Raw genomic sequence first — 19,843 nt, 5'->3', positions numbered from 1 at the left:
ATTCATCCTTTTTCACGAGGGAGAGGGTTAAATGAGAGATCAGAGAGAAGAGGAGTTGGTGCTAAGACAGATCCGGACCTCACTTCCGTCTCTGCTGTGCTGTGCTTTTGCTCTTGTTAGTTCTCTCCACTCTTTGTTTACCATGGTTGCCAGCAATGAAGACTTTGAGAAACCCCCCAAAAAGTTGTGTACTTGCTCTGGGGGCAGGGAGCACGTAAAAAATTCTGAGCCTAGGTTCTGTTCTTTTCTGTCTTTGAAGGGCCAGAGAAGGGAGCAAGTAAGACTGATCACAAACAAAAAGTGGTAGGGACAAGGCCGGGCGCGGTGGCTCACGCCTGTAATCCCAGCACTTTGGGTGGCCGAGGCAGGTGGATCACTGGAGGTCAGGAGTTCCAGGCCAGCCTGGCCAATATAGTGAAACCCCATCTCTACTAAAAGCACAAAAATTAGCCGGATGTGGTGGTGTGCGTCTGTAGTCCCGGCTACCCAGGAGGCTGAGGCAAGAGAATCGCTTGAACCCTGAAGGTGGAGGTTGCAGTGAGCCAAGATCGCACCACTGCACTTCAGCCTGGGCAACAGAGCAAGACTGTCTCAAAAAAAAAAAAAAAAGGAGTGGGGACAAAAAAAGAAGCAAAAGAAGCACACCACCTAATATCTGGGGCTGGATAAATGAAAAAGAGAAGAAAGGGAACCACTCTACCCAGTGTGAGTGGCACTCTTGAAATTTTCCACTGGCCAGAGGCTGTGGCAGCCAGCTCCTCTTGCCTCACCACCCCTTTTGGACCACAGTGATTTCCCCCGAAGGGCTGGTGGGGTAGTAATTGAGGTGGAGAGGAGGAATCTCTGACCTTCTGCTAGGTAGAGTTATGATCATTCAAATTAGAAACCTATACAAAGATGCCACAGAAGCACTTCTATATGAGATGGCTAAGCTCTGTAGTGTTATTATAGTATACATAGCTTTCTTCAGCTTTCCAGTCCAACCCAGAATATCCCAGAGCCCCATCCACCATGCATTCTATGAAATAAATGTATGTTGTTTTAAACAGCATTTATACACTGAGAACTGCTTCTATTGTATCATGTCACATATACAGAACATTTTAAGCTTGAAAAGCAAGTCTTAATCCACTGCTATTTCAAATGGGCTGTATAAAATTCTACATTTAAAAGACAGATTGTTCTTTGGTATAACAATATATATTTATGTATTATATTTGTGTATAATGATACTAATTTGTGTATTATGTTTATTTGGCTAAATAAAATGTGTCTTTTAGGATCTATTTATCATAGATAAAAGGCATTTTAGGACAATTTTGTTCTTTTGTTGCCCTAGTAAAATTATCTTTTCTGAAGAACCAGTGTTTTAATCCAAGATAGTGATCTCATGTTGTACTGAAATAAATTTAAATTGTTTTATGATGTTTAGCAAGCCTAGAAGTTAGAATGCTGCATGGAAGGTAATAATAAGGTACACATTAGCATTTGCTTTTAATTGCTTTCACTCTTGCATCAATTAGAGTAAAATGTTGAGGATGCGGGCAGTCATTTAGTCACTGAAAGAAAAAATAAAACTTGTTTACTAAATTGAAAAGAAATTAGGAAAATGATTTTCTCCAAATTACATTTCTACTCAAATGCACTCCAAACCCGAGTTATTTCCCTAATTATATTTTATATGCAATGAATTTTTAAACCTCTTTATGCACTTTATGCTCTTGGTTGGCAATTGAACATCAATTGAATTTCCATTAAGTTGGAAACCACAGGTACTGGTAGTTTTTAAAGATGTGATTTTAGCAAGGTATTTGTCTTGGGATAATAATAATAATAATGCATCCACTGACTACTTTAAAGTTTACAAAATCCTGTCCTGCAGAGAGCCAGTATGGCATCCTAAAAAGACCTGAGGCTTTGGCTTCAGACCTGAGTATGAATCCCACTGTAGCCACTTACTATCACCCTTCCTCTCAGTTTTCTCATCTGTAAAATGGGGAGAACACCTATGTTGAAATGTTGTTGTCATTAAACAAGAATGAATGCATGTACAATTCTTAGCATGAAATAGTAGCATTAAAACCCCCAATATTTAATCTTTGCAATTTTATTAGGAAGTAGGTTTTATCTCTCTTATAAGCATGAGTCAGTTGAGGCTCAGGCAACTCATCCAGGGTTGCCAACTCTCTTTTATGACTCCAAGTCTAGGACATTTCCCTCCCTTTGGCTACTTCTGGAACAAGACTACGAAAACTGATAAAAGGATTAGCAGCAGGCTGGGTGCGGTGGTTCATGCCTGTAGTCCCAGCACTTTGGGAGGCCGAGGTGGGAGGATTGCTTGAGCCCAGGAGTTCGACACCAGCCTGGGCAAAATGGCAAAACCCTGTCTCTATAATTTTGTAAAAGTTTTATAAAAGGATTAGCAGCAATTGCTAGATATGACCTCTCATATGTGATCTAGACTCCATTAAGGCAGCCATTCCCAGCCCAACATATGTGCCATACTGCATGACTCAAGGCTGCTGTTGCATTAGCTGAAACTCCATCTTTTCTCTCCTGCTCAGAAAAGCCCACGAAGGGAGAGTGTGGGTGGGGATTGCAGGGATAACCTGCAATCCGCTCTGTTTCCAGCCTCCTAGTACTTTATTACTGATAGCAAGTTTTTTGAACACACTTCACACCTTATAGCAGCACACCACAGTTGGGAACCATGGCATAAGACGTGTTCTAGGGAGAATAAGTAGGTCACTTTGCACTAGGGGTTTCCTGCTGGGGAGTAGTGAGAAAGATGGTGGAGCCAGTAGGAGTTTAAAAAGTTAAGACTTGATCTTGTAGGCACTCAGCCTCTTGGGTAGGAAAGCAGTGAGGCTAAAATGGTAGTCTGTAGGACCTGGAAAAAGCCTGGAAGCCAGGAAAACAGTTGGTCTATTGAAGTGAGCCAGATGGAATGAGCTGAAATCCTGAACTAAGGCAGTGGCAGCAGGAATGGAAAGGAATGAACAGATCCAAGAAGATTTGTGACTGACTGGATATGCATGGCCAACCAAAGAGGTAAAAGGGCCATGTAATAAAGCAGAAGTTTCAACATAAGCTGTCACTTAGGCAGTAGGTTTCCTCCTCTAAGTATATTTTGCTTAAATATGTATCAAAATGATCTTGCAGCCCCAGGACTCAATATCCCTGTTGGTGGAAAGTAAACAGTTTGGAACGGTGCTAAACAGCAGAAAAAGCACTGGCTTAGAATTAGACATTTACAGCACACAGTTCATAAAATATTAATATATTTTTTCACCAAGTTACTGCCTTATGGAAGTGTTTGGTTAACCTGCTTCACTGGTTTTTGATATTGGGCTAAGTGACTTTGTGGTTAGTCATACAAACATGCTGGTATCTAAATGCAGGAAGTGATTCTAGAACATTACAAGTGGGTGATACAACCTTGTGGATTGTTATCTTTAGGCACCTGACCAGCCAATAACTAGGACGTTTGAAGTGATTAAGAAAATCTATTTTTTAAATTATACTTTAAGTTCTGGGTCATCTGATACACTGTATATCTCACGCCCATGAATGTAGGCTCCTTAAGGGTGGGGATTTTTTTTTTTTGTTCACTGCTGTAGCCCCATCAGAGAACAGAGCCTGTCACTTAGTAGATGCTCAATCAGTAATTGTTGAATGTGTGACACCAGGGATCATGAGTGTCTGGCTCACCAAAGGAGCCCTGGTGCTGATTTTACAGAAGGAGCTTAATAAAACCTGATTTAGTTGAGCCAAAACAAATTGAACAGCATTTGGACTAGTAAAACACATTTTTATTTGGCTTTATATTGTGTGAAATACAGTAAAATAATTTTAGGTTGATAATTCTTTACATGAGATATTCAACAGTAACAAAATTATATTTGTTCTTTTGCTAGTGATGAGTTGGAACAATTCATGGAAAATCAAGGTGCATCGAGCCCAGGTATCCTCATTTTAACAACAAACCTCAGCAAACCATTCATGCGACTGGAGAAATATGTTACTCTCTTGCAAGAGTTAGAACGGCATATGGAGGTAAGGGAAGGTGAACTTTTTCAAGCTCGTGTGCCAAGTATGGTCCTGTGCTCTGGAGGACGCAGCCAATTTGCCTCCAAAATGGCCTTGCAGAGGAATCAAGGTCTTGGATTCAAAATTTACTTTATCTGTTCTTCCCTCTTCTCAGGCTTCTAGTTTTCCTTTTTATGCAGCAAAATAAGATCCTTACTCTTTGCTACTAGATATTAATGATCATTCTCCCTTTTCGCTCTTCTCTTCCAAGCCTTGGTCCTGTGGCTTCCCTTAAGTCTATGCTTACTTGCTAACTTGAGTTTTCTTTTGCCCTCTCAGTAGTTTGGTCAAAATCCAACTAAGAAATCTTCTTTGTTTCTGGTATATTAACCAACTTTATTGTGGGAGATAGAGCAAAACAACATCAGAATGTACAAAGAACAAGTTCACTATAGACAGGAATATTTATCTCTAGAATTCTGCCATCATTCAACTTCCTGACTCTGGATAACAGTGGAAGATTCTGGTATTCCTTAAAGACTAATGGATGGATACAATATTAGTGGTATCTCTCTACACATCATGCATGTACATCAGAGTCCCCCCACATTTTTATTTATAAGCCTACAGTTTACTTGCAACTGTTGTAGCATAGCTATAATCTTTTCTAAATTCTAAGATTTTGCAATGAGGCCTGATAATTGAATATTTTTTCACCAAGAACCAAAGGCCTCATGTTATGAAAAACCAATCAGCAGAGCTAGCTCCTTGAGCCATTCTTTTGTGATTGTTCATGGGGGATTTAAGTGTGGGTGGGAGAGGAGGGCCTGCTGGAGGAGGCTGCATTTACCCTAGTTGCTCTTCCTGTGTCTGGGGAAAGGTTTTGAGGTTTCAAGGGGTTTGATTATCTTTAAAGAAAAAGAGTGCACCCGCACTCTGCCGGGCTTGTCAGCATTTGTAAGGATTGAAAGAATGTTCTCTGAGCGAAACCACATTCTCAGGGTATTTGACCTGCCTGAAAGCCGGAGGCAGTGGGGAGCTGGTGAGCAAAGCCTGTCAGTGTGAAATTTCAGTTAGGGCTCAGGAAGGTGTTGACCTCTGGATGCCTTTCCATAAGCTAAACCAGTTTGCTGAACCGTTTGAGGTTTGCCCCTCCTTGCTTATCACAAAAATCCAGAAACGAGTGGCCTCAGTTTCTATTACTTTTCAGTGTTGAAATGCAAATATGCACTTATTTTGGGGAGAAACAAATCCCAGATGCTCCTGCTGCCTGGATCCTATATCTCAGTCTTTCTTGTAGTGGAGCCTGTTCTCCTCCTGCTTCCATTTGCTGTGGGTCACATGTCTTTGGCTGCCTCTCATTTCCCATCATCAGAAAATACAAGCCTTTAGAACTAGTTCACCACTGGGTGAGACACTTTGTGCAGATTTCAGAGCATTTGGCATGGCTGCTAACAGTAGAATAAAGCCTGAACTTCTTGTTTGTCAGTTGATTTGGATAAGGATAAATTTTACTGTAAAGGAATACAACCTTACTTTTTATGAGCAATGTCATTCTTGGCTTGGGTCAGGCCCCTAATCTGTTCAGCTCTGTATTTTATCACCCGAGACTAGTGGGGCAGGAGATTTAGTCTTCCCTTACTCCAGCTGAGTTCCAAAGGACATATCCCCTATGCCCCAATGTTAGGTGCACATCTACCCATAAGAATCTGTGTCTTCCCTTCATAAACAGTTATGGAATTATGGATTCCTCTAAGCCGTTTTTGAATCTGTCCACTTTCGGAATTGCAAGTACCACAGGATTGCAGGCCATGTGTAAGAGCCTTGCTTAAGAAGGAAAATATGGTATGAAACTTGGAATCTTTTCCCATCTGCCATGTTCACACTGCTGAAAGAAAATGGAGGCATTTTAGGAAATGGAATTAGATTGATTTTTCTCTTGAGTTTTTGTTGTTGTTGTTTGTTTGTTTGTTTGTTTTGAGACAGGGTCTCACTCTATCACCCAGGCTGGAGTATAGTGGCACAATCACAGCTCATCACAGTCTCGACCTCTGGGCTCAGCTGATCCTCTCAGCTCAGCCTCCCAAGTAGCTGGGACTATAGGCATGCACCACCATGCCCGGCTGATAGATTGATTTTTCTCTAACCACGACTCTTGTTTCCACCATTCCCTACCTCCTGTCATCTACCAACAACATGACCTAATGATGTACCCCGAATAATTATTTAATTATTATATTTATTATTAAATAATCATTATCCAAAGTATAATAGCAAAAAGGGAAGTGGGAACTCTTGCCTTTTACTACATTGTTACTAAATATATGATGCATTACCAACTCTCTTAATTTCTTAATCACCTAATAATTAGAGTCACTGAGATTCCAAATGCTCCCATGCTGCTCTATTTTTTAATCTTTAGTATAGAGTAAAATTAACGTTTTTCTTCTGGTGCACAGTTCTATGAGTTTTCACACAGGTATAGATTCATGTTACCATGACCACAATTAAAATACAGAACAGTTCCATCATCCCCCAAAATTCTCTTGCTATCTTTGTGGCCATACTCTCTTTCTACCCCTAACCCTTGGCAACTGCTGATCCTCTCTCCTCTAACATTGTTTTCAAATGTATTCCTTTGATAGGATACTCATCCAGATCATCAGGATATTCTGAAAGCAATCGTAGCATTCAAAACTCTCATGGTAGGTGATGCTTTAAAATCACAATTCTCCATTTTGTATACTTTATTCCTGAAAGAGCGATTTGTGTGTAACATTTCTTTCCCTATACAAAGGTCTTTAGAATGGAAATAAGCTTTCATGACAGTATAGCAGTGATTGTTTCACTTAATTTTGTCCTCCAAAAATCATGCTTACCTAAAGAAAGGTTGCCAGGCTGAGGGTATAAAGCAATCACATTTACAGTCTCAGCCACATTAAGCCACATTAAGCATTGGTGTGTAGGTGGGGGGTTTCCTTTTGTCTCTTTGTCTTTACCCCCATTGCTCACCTAATGACGAGTCTGTGTAACTCATCATTCACTGATTTGCATCAATACTGGATTCAACTAGTTATGCCAAAGGGTATGAGTTTTTTCTTTGCATATGAAGAAGAAATCCTTCATCAAATCTAAAAGGGGGGAAAAAACCTAAAGAACTAAAATGCAAGTGCTTTATATAGGTTGCTATCAAAGGTACACGTGATCTTGTATCTTCAGTATGATGGTTAATGTATCTTCTTGAACCCACTGATATAAAACCACTTGGTGCCATTTTAGGAGGAAAGAAAACTTCATTTTGGGCAATTGATTAAACTTAGCTTCATTTCACACAATTCTGTAGCATTATAAGTGATTTGGACTAATGTTTAATTATTAATCCTTGTTGAAAGATCAGTAATTGACGTGTCTGTAGTTGAACAGTAAGTTGAAGACCAGAGTAAGTATTAGATTAAAATTGCCATTGTTATATGCCAAAAACAGTCCAATATTGGCAGTTTTACATGGCGCAAGCTAATAGAACAGCCCAGTGAAACCCACAGCATTTATTATAATTATGGTTCTTCTATTTTTTCTTGTATAAATAGGAATGTAAAATGAGTCTTTTTAAAAACCTGTATTTCTTTCTGATTATATTATATAACTTGCCTTGATGGTTTAGTATATTTATTCCTACTATAGGTGCTCTTAAAATATGTGTACAGTGAATTTATTTCTTTGAGTTTCCATGTAGCTGAAAGGGACAGCAGAGATTTTATAGAAAATATAACCCCAAAATATTATCTTACATTCATTTGGAAACAGTAACAGAACTAACCATGTGCTTATTTTTGTATTCAATTTGGAAGGCATGCTGTTAAATTACTCTAAGATAACCTCACAGTTTCTTAAGCAGTGAGATATATATATATATATATATATATATATGTATATATATATGTGTATATATATATATGTGTATATATATATACACATGTGTATATATATATGTGTGTATATATATATATATATGTGTATATATATATATATATATATATATATACACACACATACACACACATATATATAGAAAGAGTATTCATACCCCACATAGTGTTGGCAAACTGTAATTTTTTCTTGGTTTGAAATTTCAGTATGTCATCATGAAATTCAGTTGTATCTCTTTTTTCCAATCCTTTTAGGAATAAAAACTAATTTAGTATTTTTTTCACAGCAATCTTGGTCCTTAAACAAAGTACAGCAGTGCCTAGGTTTCATTATAAGTTTGATTCACTGTGGCATAAAGAATTTAATTTTCTCTTTCACTATAACTCCAGGAGAAATTTTTTGTTTTTTATTATTTTCAAGATGTTACCTTGTTGAAAATTGAGCATATGTTAGAAATACAATTATTTTGTCACTAAAGCCCTATTTATGCAAAGATAGACAAGGTAAGAGGAGCTAAAGCAGGGGCACCAACCAGTAGATCTGAATCTACCAGGTCCTCACCTGGCTCTGGTCAGTGTGATTTGGCTGCTTGCTTTCCCATATTCTTTACAGGGAGGGAGAAATAAGCTCTTTCTAGCATTATGTTTTGATGCTTTGGCAAAATGAAAAATAGGCCTTCCTCACAAAACCTTTGGGGGCTCAAGCCTAGAGATTTAGGGTAGTGGATCTTTCTGTCTATCAAGAACAGGCCTGGGTCATGGGATTCATGATGAGGAATAGGGACTCAGTGGGAACCAAAGAGTCAGAAGCCACATCTTACTTTGGTCTTATTTTAGTCTATTTCATAAGAATTCCTATTCCATTATGTTCTGCTTTGGTTCTGTAGGGGCAATGTCAAGATCTGAGGAAGAGAAAACAGCTGGAGTTACAGATACTGTCCGAACCTATTCAGGCATGGGAAGGAGAAGATATTAAAAACTTGGGAAATGTGATTTTTATGTCACAAGTAATGGTGCAGTATGGAGCATGTGAGGTAAGGTATTTCAAATCTCAACATTATTTCTTCCATCTTTCGTATTTTTCTTCCTTTTTTTTTTTTTTTTTTGACGGAGTCTTGTTCTGTCACTCAGGCTGGAGTGCAGTGGTGCCATCTTGGCTCACTGCAACCTCTGCCTCCTGGGTTCAAGCAATCCTCCTGCCTGAGCCTCTTAAGTAGTTTTTCTTCCTTGTTCTTCCATCAAAGTCAAATGCTACAACATTCAAATCAGAAGCTGAGCACCTGTTCTTTGTTGAACATTCTGCTAGGTGCTGTGGGAGATAGGAGAAAAGAACAAGCAATGATCCCTGTTTTCAAAGAACTCATTAAAAACAGACTAAAACACAAGTTGCAACTAGCTGACAAACCAAATAGTCAATGTTCGATTTTGCAATCTCAACAAGAGTCCATAGAAGTTCACAGGAGGGAGAGATCAAGAAGACCTTACGGAGACAGGACTTGAGGAGGGGGCACAAAAACAAAAGGGGAGGATTTCGCAAGGCAGAGGTCATTGTTATCTTAGGAGAGAACAGAAATGTGGCTTTGGTTTGCTGCAGCACAGTAAGGAAACCAGCCTGTAGGGAGCAAAAGAAGCAACTTGGCCCTAGTAAAAGATTGATTGAGTCAGGTAGAATTAGACTATGCAGAAGCTTGACATCAGGCAAGAGTAGTTCAGATGGATGCAACAGGCCATGGGAAATAATGAAAGAGTCCACAGTCATAGAACAACACTCCGAAAGGGATGTTTCACACTAATCTGCGACCTATATATGTCAAATGAACTGGAGGGAATGGACGAGAAGCAGAAAGGCCAGCTGGGATGGAAAGTGAGAAGGAGTCCCCTAAGACGGTGGTAACACTGGGAATGGAGCAGAAGGAGCAAATTGGAGGCATCTTTAGAAGGGAAAGCCAACAGGAAGTGGTGCCCCTGGGTTAGAGGAGATGAAGAATATAATTTTAGACCTGTAGATATCTGGGTGGAGATGTCCCATAGGCAGCTGTTAATGTAGTATGGAAATGTGAGTGAGAGGTCAGAGTTAGAGGCAGAGACTTAGATGTCCCTAACAGATGTGCCTTCCTAGGAAGTAAATATCCAGAGAGAAGCCCGGGGGGTGGGGGGAGCTGAAGATGGATTATTTCTTTTAGGAAGGAGCCAGGGAAAGGGAGAAAGGTTGATTATGGCACCTGGTTTGATGTATCGGGTGTTAGAATTGTCTTCCTTCTCCCAAAACATCTTCCTACGCTCTCTGACACGTCTTTGGCGGAGATTCATTACTTTGGGTTAATAAGCAATCTCATTTAAAATGCAAATACCCCAGGGAAGGTTACTGCAGTGAGTCTAACTATTAGTCATTCACACCTTTGGGATAAACCCCTTGGGTGAAGGCAGGAGGAATCAGTGCCAGAAAAAATAAAAAGACAAAGAGGAAGGTAGAGAAGAACTGGGGGAGCATGGTGTCATGGAAATTCCACGAGGAGCATTTGAAAATGGCCAGTGTGCTGACTGCTGCTGAAGGTTCAGAGGGCAAGGAATGTGAAGACCAAGAGGAAGCCATTGGATTTTGCTAGAAGGCAGTTACTGATGACTTTCCAAGAGCAATGGGGGTGCAGTTAGGGATGGATCAATGCAGAGAAAATGAAGGCAGCAAGTAATTTGCCAATAAAATGTCAAGAAATGGGATATTATGCATAAAGGGCCACATGGGGGCAAGCCAAGGTCTGTTAGGATAGGAGGTGTACATATGTTAAAGAAAAAGAGGAACAGCTAGTAAAAGAGAAGAGGATGCTGGGAGAAGAAGAGGTGTCTGTAGAGGAAAACTAAGTGAAACAAAGATGTGAGAGAATGTGGAGCACTTGTTAGAATAGTTAGCCTGGAAGGGTTGCTCTTCTCAAATGGAAGGAAGGAGATGGAGACAGGCATAAGGATAATTGTAGCTAAGATGGCTGGGCATGGAAGGCAAACGTAATTTTTGCGTATACTAATTGCATATCTGTTGAAGGGGCTCACAGCAGCCCTCACGTTTCAAGGTTTCCTCAGTGCCATTAAAAAGTGTATGGGAGGCTGAGGTGGGTGGATCACCTGAAGTCGGGAGTTTGAGACCACCCTGACCAACATGGAGAAACCCCATCTCTACTAAAAATACAAAATTAGCCGGGAGTGGTGGCACATGTGTGTAATCCCAGCTACTTGGGAGGCTGAGGCAGGAGAATCGCTTGAACCCGGGAGGTGGAGGTTGTGGTGAGCCGAGATCGTGCCATTGCACTCCAACCTGGGCAAAAAGAGCGAAACTCCGTCTCAAGAAAAAAAAAAGAAAGTGTATCTACTTTTATGTTTTACATAAATCCAATAATTATCTTGTTCTTAATGACCAAAGCTAATTTTATGAATACGACTTTAACAAACATGTTAGAGCATACTAAATCTCTTATCACCTGAAAACCCCTTCATCTTGCCATTTTTTCAAAGTAAAATATATTTTCATTTTGTGAACCTGGAGACTTATTTTGTGCCCAGGTCTAGCACATCTCACTGGCTGCATAAACTGTGGTGACTTCTCAGGCTTTCATACATGGAAAGCAAGCATGGTTATTTGTATTTAATTGTTATGTATAAGAAGAAGAGAGATAAACTGTGGGTTTATGTCCATGTCAAAGTAAAATTCAACTAGTTTTGTGTTTTCAAGTTGGGTATCTTTTTTAAAAAAAAAATTACCGTTAATGTTTCAGTTGTTTATATAAGGTCTATGTTATAAGGCAGTGATTCCAGAAATTCTCAACAGATAAAGTGTCCAATTCTGTTCTTCATGTATTATTTTCATTCCCTCTCAGGAAAAAGAGGAGCGGTACCTTATGTTATTTTCAAATGTCCTGATAATGTTATCTGCAAGTCCTCGGATGAGTGGCTTTATCTATCAGGTTAGTAAATTTCATATAAAACACATAGCAGACCCCCTAACGAAAACAGGTTTCCATCCAGATGCAATATCTCCACTATGGCATTAAAAGCTCAAGCCAGGAGAACCAGAATGTTCTGACCCTTCATTGTAATTAAAGAGCTTGTAAGAGCAGATGTTCCTTAGATCAAAGACCTTTGTATTAGTATAATGAGTTTATCTTGAATATATCCACCGCTTTAGTTATGCACTAGGTTTTGCATGCATAAATGGAAACTAGATAAATTAGCAGCAGTATTGTACAGGCCCATGTCATTATTGCTGAGAAAACATAAAGCTGGGACCTGCTCCTATGTTTGTCTTATTATAGTCACAGCACATGATTCAGGCTTCTAAGAAGCATGTTATTAAACTCCTTAGGAAATTAAATGTCCCTCAGTCAGCTCCCAACATATAGAGTATTATAAGTTACTATTGCCTGTTCCATCTTGGCCTGGCAATTAATAATTTTCATAACATCTGAGCCTTCACTTTTTTTTACTGATTCTTATGAAAATGTGTTAGAAAAGTAAACTGCTTTGTAAATCCTGATCTTATAGTTTAGGGTGTGTTAGCCAAACACAATCCACATTTTCCCCTTGCTTTCTTAGTCTGATTAAAATTTAGAGCAGGGAAACATATTATCTATTGACAGACTGGAGAAATACGTCTAGCCATAGTTTTGCCTTGCTGAGAGGGTCAGAAAATCTAAGTGAAATAAACAGAGACCTGTATAACTGCAGAATTAATGAGAATGTTCTTTTTCTAATAGGGAAAAATACCAATAGCAGGAACGGTGGTGACTAGATTAGATGAAATTGAAGGGAATGACTGCACATTTGAAATCACTGGTAGGTAATTTTCTCTTTTTCATGTAACTACTTCCAATTCTTTTTGGAATGAAGGGGAATTTAATAAATAAATGCCATTATTTCCTGTTACATAGGCCACGAGCAAATTTTATGCGGGCATGGCAAAGTATATTCCATTTCCTGGGATAATTAGGGTACAGCAATAGCACAGAGAAGTCTCCTCTCATTCAAAAGCCATGGCTTTGCCATTAGTTTCAATTTTCTGTTGCATGAGAGCTACTTGTGAGAGCTAAGGAATAACGAAATGGACTGATGTAAACGCAATTTTCTTCCCCTCTGTCATTTGTTCCCTGGTGGCAGAGGAGCCAAAGATATGGACTTTTATCAGCAATTTTATCATCAGCCCATGAGTTAGTAAGATTTGGTTGTATTTCTAAAAAGTTCTGAAAAGCCATCAAATTTTCTTCACAAATTGAGCATAATGCCAGGCTTCAGTAATGCCCCCTGACATTTTAGCTTATGATCCCTTTTGCCAGGTCTGTGTCATTTATATGTAGTGGCCTGACTGTTGGTGCTGATATGGCACAGTGGCTAAGACTGGGATCATGGCCTTACCCTCTTCTTTCCCAAGAAGGAGCTTAAGGTTTGGTGTTTGCCAAAAGGTTGTAAATAGTCTTAGTTGGATCTTGTTCCAACTTTGATACCAGGGGAACCAGGACAATATTCCCACTTTAGACTTAACTAGATGGACTATGTGCTTATGTTTTTGGATTGCAAGTTTGTTTATGGTGAAGTTTTACACTACTTTTAAGCTTCTGTAAGCAGTAAAAATCAAGGACAGTTTTCTAAATCAGACATGAATATTTATTTACTTTGTAATCACAGGTTATCTGTTTCTGATATAGAAATTTCAGCAGGGTTATCCCATAGGTATGAAAACCCCTGAAAATACACACCCAAGTCCTAGTTGTATGAAGTCTATTTATGAATGGGACAAGCTCAAGTTTTTCCTTGCCTTTTGTTTTCAAACTGATCATAATTGGGGGATGTAGGTAACACAGTGGAGAGAATTGTGGTCCATTGTAACAACAACCAGGACTTCCAGGAATGGTTGGAGCAGCTGAACAGACTGATCAGAGGACCTGCCTCTTGCAGTTCATTATCCAAAACCTCATCGTCATCATGTAGTGCTCATTCTGTAAGTAGTCCATGTGTTCTGTCCAGAGATTATTGAGTCTTTCGTCAACTCCTGCCTGCTGGAGACTTACAAGAAGCAGCGAGCACACCCTTAGTCTTTTGGGCAGCCTATATTTGTAGATTTTGAAGTACAGTTAAACCTCACTCATTCTGATTTCTCATTATGAGGCCCATCCAAATTAATGAAAAGGTTTACTTAGAGTGTGCAGTTCTGTTTGACAGTATTCAGATACCCCAACTAACTGCTAGCAAAGTATTTCTAACCAGAAGTCCTGCTAAAATATTTTAATGATAAGCAAGGCTTATTTCCATGAGCAATGGTTATTCTCCTACTAACAGTGGGCTAAGTCGAAACAAATAGTTTACCTCCCTAAGTACTTAAACATCTCCATGTCATCTCACTCATGCTCTCACATTTGCTCAGTAACCTTCTTCAAAGGTAAACTTTTAGCATTATCTCCTTCTGAGTTATCACAAATTTAGACATTGGAATTTGAATTGATGAGATTTTACTGTACTTGCTGAGTGAGATGGAAGATATGCTGTGTTGTTTGTTAACATACAAACCTATGATGCCAAAATTCCAGTTTTGAGGACTGTGTGTTGTGGTTGGAAGAATATGGACTTTGGCTTCAGATCTGGGTTCAAATCTTGGCTTTGCCAATTACTAGTTAGTTGCTTCCCTTGACTGAGTCTATGTCTTAGGCTGTTCTCATGAAATAACCTATTTAAGCACCTACTAGAGTGCCAAACATATCACTGAACTCAAATGTTGACTGCTACTCCATTTTCCTTCCTTACAGAGGAAAGAAAATTAAATTAATTAAATTCCAGATGAGAAAGAGAGGACAGGATCATGGAATGTTGAGTCAATTTTGTGCTGTTTCTTAGAGACCCGATAATCTGGACTGGAAAGAACCAGTTCTCAAACTAGAGACTTTTGTTTTTCCATCTATCCCTTTCTATGGCTGTCTTTGCTAATCCAATGAAGCTATTGTTGTTCTCTCACTGTGTGGCACAAGGTCGGGTTCAGATGGCAGATTGCCAACATCTCATCAGACATTTTCCCAGTCTTTTAGCTCTACCGGACAGCCCCGAGGACCCTTGGAGCCTCCTCAAATTATAAAACCGTGGAGTTTAAGTTGTCTACGACCTGCACCTCCACTTAGACCATCAGCAGCACTAGGTTATAAAGAGGTAATTTTGCTACCTATGGTATAAAATGCTTCTGACAAGTTAATTTCGTAGCTTATTACAAATAGTTCTGTGGGAATGTGCTAGAATTTAAGATAGATGGTATTATGTGAGTCAGTCTTGAATTGCCAGACTCAGTGATTTGTTTGATTTCTTAATTTTCCATTTCCCATTGTCCATCTGCAAATATGTACTGAATATCTACAGGATCTATGTGCACTGCCTGAGTGTTCCCAGTCTCCTCCTGAAGTGCCTCTGGTTTACCTTAATGATTATTATGATAATCCTTTAGATTTGTTAATAATGTACACAAATCTCAAACAAGAGCCACTTCATTGTAGTTGAGTTGCCAATGAAGCAGACTTAATTCAGCATTTGGGATCATTTTGATCAATTTGAACCAAATTAGTAAAGTGTTATGGGACCAAGCTATGAGTCCAAACTATAAAAGTGATATTTGCTGCAATTGGAATGAGAAAAGAATTTGATGAAAGCAGTGTCTTTTAAAAAGAGGCTTCTCAGAGACAACCTTAAAGGCCATTTGATATTTGGGTAGTGTGGGGATTTAAAGGTTTTGTGTATTTTTTTTTTCTCTCAAAGTTGCAGTCAGGAAGTGTCACTCACTAGCTTCTGTAACTGTGTGGAGTATTACTTTTCCATCCAAACAGTGGCTTTATCCCTAACCTGTCTCAAATCATTTCAGATTTCAGAAATGATGCTCATTTATTAGTAACTGTTCTTTAAATTGGTCTTGTTGAGTGAAGATTAAGTTTGTGACAGTTATGAGATGAGTCTTAGAATTATGGGGCAAAGGTGGCTTATATTTCTATATCAAACGTGTGTTTTGATGAGTGATGCAGACTTAGCTCAATTTTGAGTGTTTTGATTGAAACCACCATGCTTTTGTTTCGATTAATTGTTGCTACCAACTCTAAGTGCAGTAAAAATAGGACAATATTTGGACACTGGAGGATTTTTTGATCCTTTCAACTTGACATGATAGGACAAACAACCCTCGAACTGAATCTTTGTTATATAACTCTATTTAGAATTTGGTCAGGAAGCAGTCCCACAGATTTGCTTTGGAAATTTACGTGCAATTCTTGCAATCATCCAATTTTCTTCTTTGATTATGTAAACCAGGAGTGCCACTTGATAGTTACCTAGGCCCCCTTTTTAATGATGGATATTTTGTAATTATCAGTTACTAAGTTCAAATTAAGGGTGAGCTTTGAAGAGTAAAGTTGACTTAATCCTTCACAAAACTAATCTATTAAAACTAAGGCATGATCACTTTGTTTCTGCTGGGGGAAGAGAGTTATTAATATATTCCTACTAGATAGTATGTATTTCAGTTGTTTTCAGCATTTGTTATTCTGCACAGAACTGTATTCCTCGGGCTTTTGCATGATAATATTGCATCTGAAACTAATGTGGGAAATGTGATTATATTCCCTCTGTGTAATTTATGATAACACTAACATTTCAAATGTTGTTTTAGAATTATTGATAAGTGGATTTGGTCATTATAACCATCGACCTCTCACGCTCATCTTCTCTTTCTTTACATATTCATTTTAGAGGATGTCTTATATCTTAAAGGTAAGGGTAGTACAATATCTTTGGCTTACAGTGACATCATAATGCTGTACTGTAACCTTTGATGAATGAAGCTTTCCCTTATGCTTGTTTTGTCCCTTGTTATAATTGGTGGCTAAAATATGAAGATGCAATTTTGACATGTAAGTACTTTGTTCAAAAAGCAGGCTTGTGTGAAATACATATAAAAATGTCATAATGCCCTAAAATGCCCATTTTCCTGTGTTTTTTTTTAAATTCTGTTTTTTCCTGTTATTTTTGTCATGTGAGAGTTTTTCATATCTGTCTTGTTTTCAAGTGTAAGTACTGTGGCTAAGTGAAATAAATTAAATGATTTGTTTCCTATATTTTTAAGGTACTATTAATAATTAATATCCATGCTCCATGTATACACATTTCTTGGAAAATTGGGATTAGGTGATCATGAGAGTTTTTTCCTAAGTCTAAGGTTGTAATCTGTTTACAGATTATTGGATTAAGGATTAAGGATATTGACAATGAGTATTTTTTTGACCTGCTGGTTACTCATATGGCAAAAACAAATTCAATACATTTATTTTGTCTACTAGTTAAATACATGGCTTTATATATGGATAGTTAAGTTTGGCTGTGGGTGTGTTACTTCTAACCCAAAATTATTTTTTAGGAAATCCTTCATTTGGTTCTTCTCTTTGACTGCGGAAAAATGGCTTAGTCTCTCTGCCTTAATTTTTCTGTCTCACAAATGGAAATTATATTCTTATTTGTGGGACTGTTTCTAAGGCAGAATTATTTAAATAGCTTTGAAGCTCTTTGAAAAGTGATCATTACTACATTAGTGGTTACAGTGGTTATTTAGTTCCCCTAAAACTGTATCAGTGGGGAACGTAAACCAAATTAGGAATACTGTTACGTTTTTAGGGTTGACATCCCTTACTTTCTCTGCAGATGGTTCCCTAAAGCCATTTGGCCTCCTGGAGAATCTGCCACATCTTCAGTAGGCACACTCCACTCTTAGTCCCACCTCTGTGCAAGTTGAGAGGATAATGTCATTGCCTCTGTTTTATTTAACCTTTTAGAGTTTATTGGAACCATTTTAATTGTGCATAGAATTAAACATTGATGTACTCCTAACTGAGACTGTCAAAATAAGAGAGAGGAATTCTACTTAGTTTCATTCATGCTTTTACTTTTGTTTTTGAGGGAGAATTTTAATTCATTAAGAAACCTCTGTCCTCACAGGAGTCTAGTAAAAGCCCTAAAACGATGAAGAAATTTCTTCATAAAAGGAAGACTGAGAGAAAACCATCGGAGGAGGAATATGTGATTAGGAAAAGTATGTGTTTTGTACTTTCTGAAAGTTGTTTATGGATAAATTAACATGAGAATCTTCTTTTATGTGAGGATTTATTTGAAAGCAGATGATTGGAGCAATTTTTTCTTGACATCGTCTTTTACATATAAAGAAGAATGCATGGAAAGCTTTGGTCACTTCTTAAACATTTGAATAAGCTTCTTACGGCTGCACTTCATGTCATCTTAGGCAGATGTCATCTGTATCATTTTTGTGTTGAGTATTTTGCCTCACCTGGTTTAGAACCTCTAAAGGGACCCATTTCCTATGGATACATTTTTTCCCTCTTAGTTTCTGATACTTGAGATATTTTTCTGCAGGGAGATAGACTAAATAGACCCGAAGGCTGAAGTCCTTCCAGAAGTCCCATGCTCAGTGATGCTCTCAGTTACTCAGGGAATCAGCCTGCCCACATCTAGAAACATAGTTTCATTTGGAGACAGACTGCAAAGTCAGTCAGCCAGTCGATATGGACATATTTGGCTATAAGGCTGTGAACAAGGTACTTTGGGACACAAGGTACTTTGGGACACATGTGAAGGAGTAAGTGATGTCTCACAAAGAGGTGACAGAATTGTGTGTATCAGCTGGGAATATAGTTTGGATAAATATTTGCTCCACTTCAGCTTTGGCATGCCCCACCCCCCACCCCACACCTGGTTATGCACACTGGCGTGTTCACAGGGTGCTGCCATCCAGCCATTGCAAGAATGAGTTTGGAGTAGAGGAGAAGGGAGAAGGGAAAATGAGTGACTATGCTGACTGGTTAGAAAATTGGGTGGGGTTGGCCGGGCACGGTGGCTCATGCCTGTAATCCCAGCACTTTGGGAGGCTGAGGCGGGCAGATCACAAGGTCAGGAGATCGAGACCATCCTGGCTAACATGGTGAAACCTCGTCTCTACTAAAAAAAATACAAAAAAAATTAGCCGGGTGTGGTGGCGGGTGCCTGTAGTCCCAACAACTCGGGAGGCTGAGGCAGGAGAATGGCGTGAACCCGGGAGGCGGAGCTTGCAGTGAGCCGAGATCGCGCCACTGCACTCCAGCCTGGGCAAGAGTGTAAGACTCCGTCTCAAAAAAAAGAAAAGAAAAGAAAAGAAAATTGAGTGGGGTTAATGAGGGAAAGCTTCCTAAAGGTGAGCCTTGAAATTTAAAGGAGAGGAAGGCTGGGGTATATTGATGGGAGCTAAGCTAGCAACAAGCTCAGTGCTGTGATTTTGGCCTCACTGAGACCACTGACAAAACACCGCCCCCCCCACCCCGGTCCCAGTGTAGAGCTCTGGGCTTCAGGAGTAGGCCCTCCACTAAGCTGAGCTCACTGAGGCTGACTCCAAAGCTCCATGAGGATGCTGTCACTCTTCTCCATCACCAGCGTTGGACAGCTCTTTCTCCTGCCTTTCACAAACTCTACTGGTCAGAGAAGCCAGTCCCAGGCAGTGGAGTGTGCTGCATCATTTTGAGGGTCCAAAAGCATATATCTATGAAAAGTCATGATGAATTAAATTTCACAGGTACAGCTGCTCTGGAAGAGGATGCTCAAATCCTTAAAGTGATCGAAGCCTACTGCACCAGCGCAAATTTTCAACAAGGCCATGGCTCAAGTAGGTTCCCCCAAACTACTTTCTCTAGTGAGTGACGTTTCTTCCTTACTGTTTAGTGTCTTTTAGAAAAAGAGAAAAGCAACCCGGATGGGTTGCAGGGTGTGGAAAGCAGGTGACTTGGTGCAGAGGAGTGGTGCAGGACTGCATCTTTCAGATAAGGTGGTTTTAGCTACCAAGCGGTTTG

At 39.3% G+C, this 19,843-nt stretch overlaps 1 protein-coding gene across 12 annotated transcripts in view; it reads left to right on the top strand.

Moving 5' to 3' along the window:
• Nucleotides 1–19,843, top strand: part of ARHGEF6 (Rac/Cdc42 guanine nucleotide exchange factor 6) — a 115,383-nt gene that overhangs the window by 86,267 nt on the left and 9,273 nt on the right. For 6 of the 12 annotated variants that reach the window (NM_004840.3, NM_001440994.1, NM_001440998.1 and 3 more), the window contains 10 exons: nt 3,918–4,056; nt 6,675–6,734; nt 8,843–8,989; nt 11,822–11,908; nt 12,698–12,776; nt 13,790–13,935; nt 15,006–15,131; nt 16,710–16,730; nt 17,949–18,042; nt 19,570–19,659. In NM_004840.3, the coding sequence (NP_004831.1) occupies nt 3,918–4,056; nt 6,675–6,734; nt 8,843–8,989; nt 11,822–11,908; nt 12,698–12,776; nt 13,790–13,935; nt 15,006–15,131; nt 16,710–16,730; nt 17,949–18,042; nt 19,570–19,659 (989 nt within the window). Of the gene's footprint in view, nt 1–3,917; nt 4,057–6,674; nt 6,735–8,842; nt 8,990–11,821; nt 11,909–12,697; nt 12,777–13,789; nt 13,936–14,993; nt 15,132–16,709; nt 16,731–17,948; nt 18,043–19,569; nt 19,660–19,843 lie in introns of all 12 variants that reach the window. The other 6 variants (NM_001440995.1, XM_017029975.3, XM_047442675.1 and 3 more) reach the window with 3 other exon arrangements.

The sequence above is a fragment of the Homo sapiens genome, chromosome X, assembly GCF_000001405.40.
Source record: "Homo sapiens chromosome X, GRCh38.p14 Primary Assembly".
NCBI lineage: Eukaryota > Metazoa > Chordata > Mammalia > Primates > Hominidae > Homo > Homo sapiens.
Note: the sequence above shows the minus strand (reverse complement) of the source record. Positions and strands in the feature narration are given on the sequence as shown.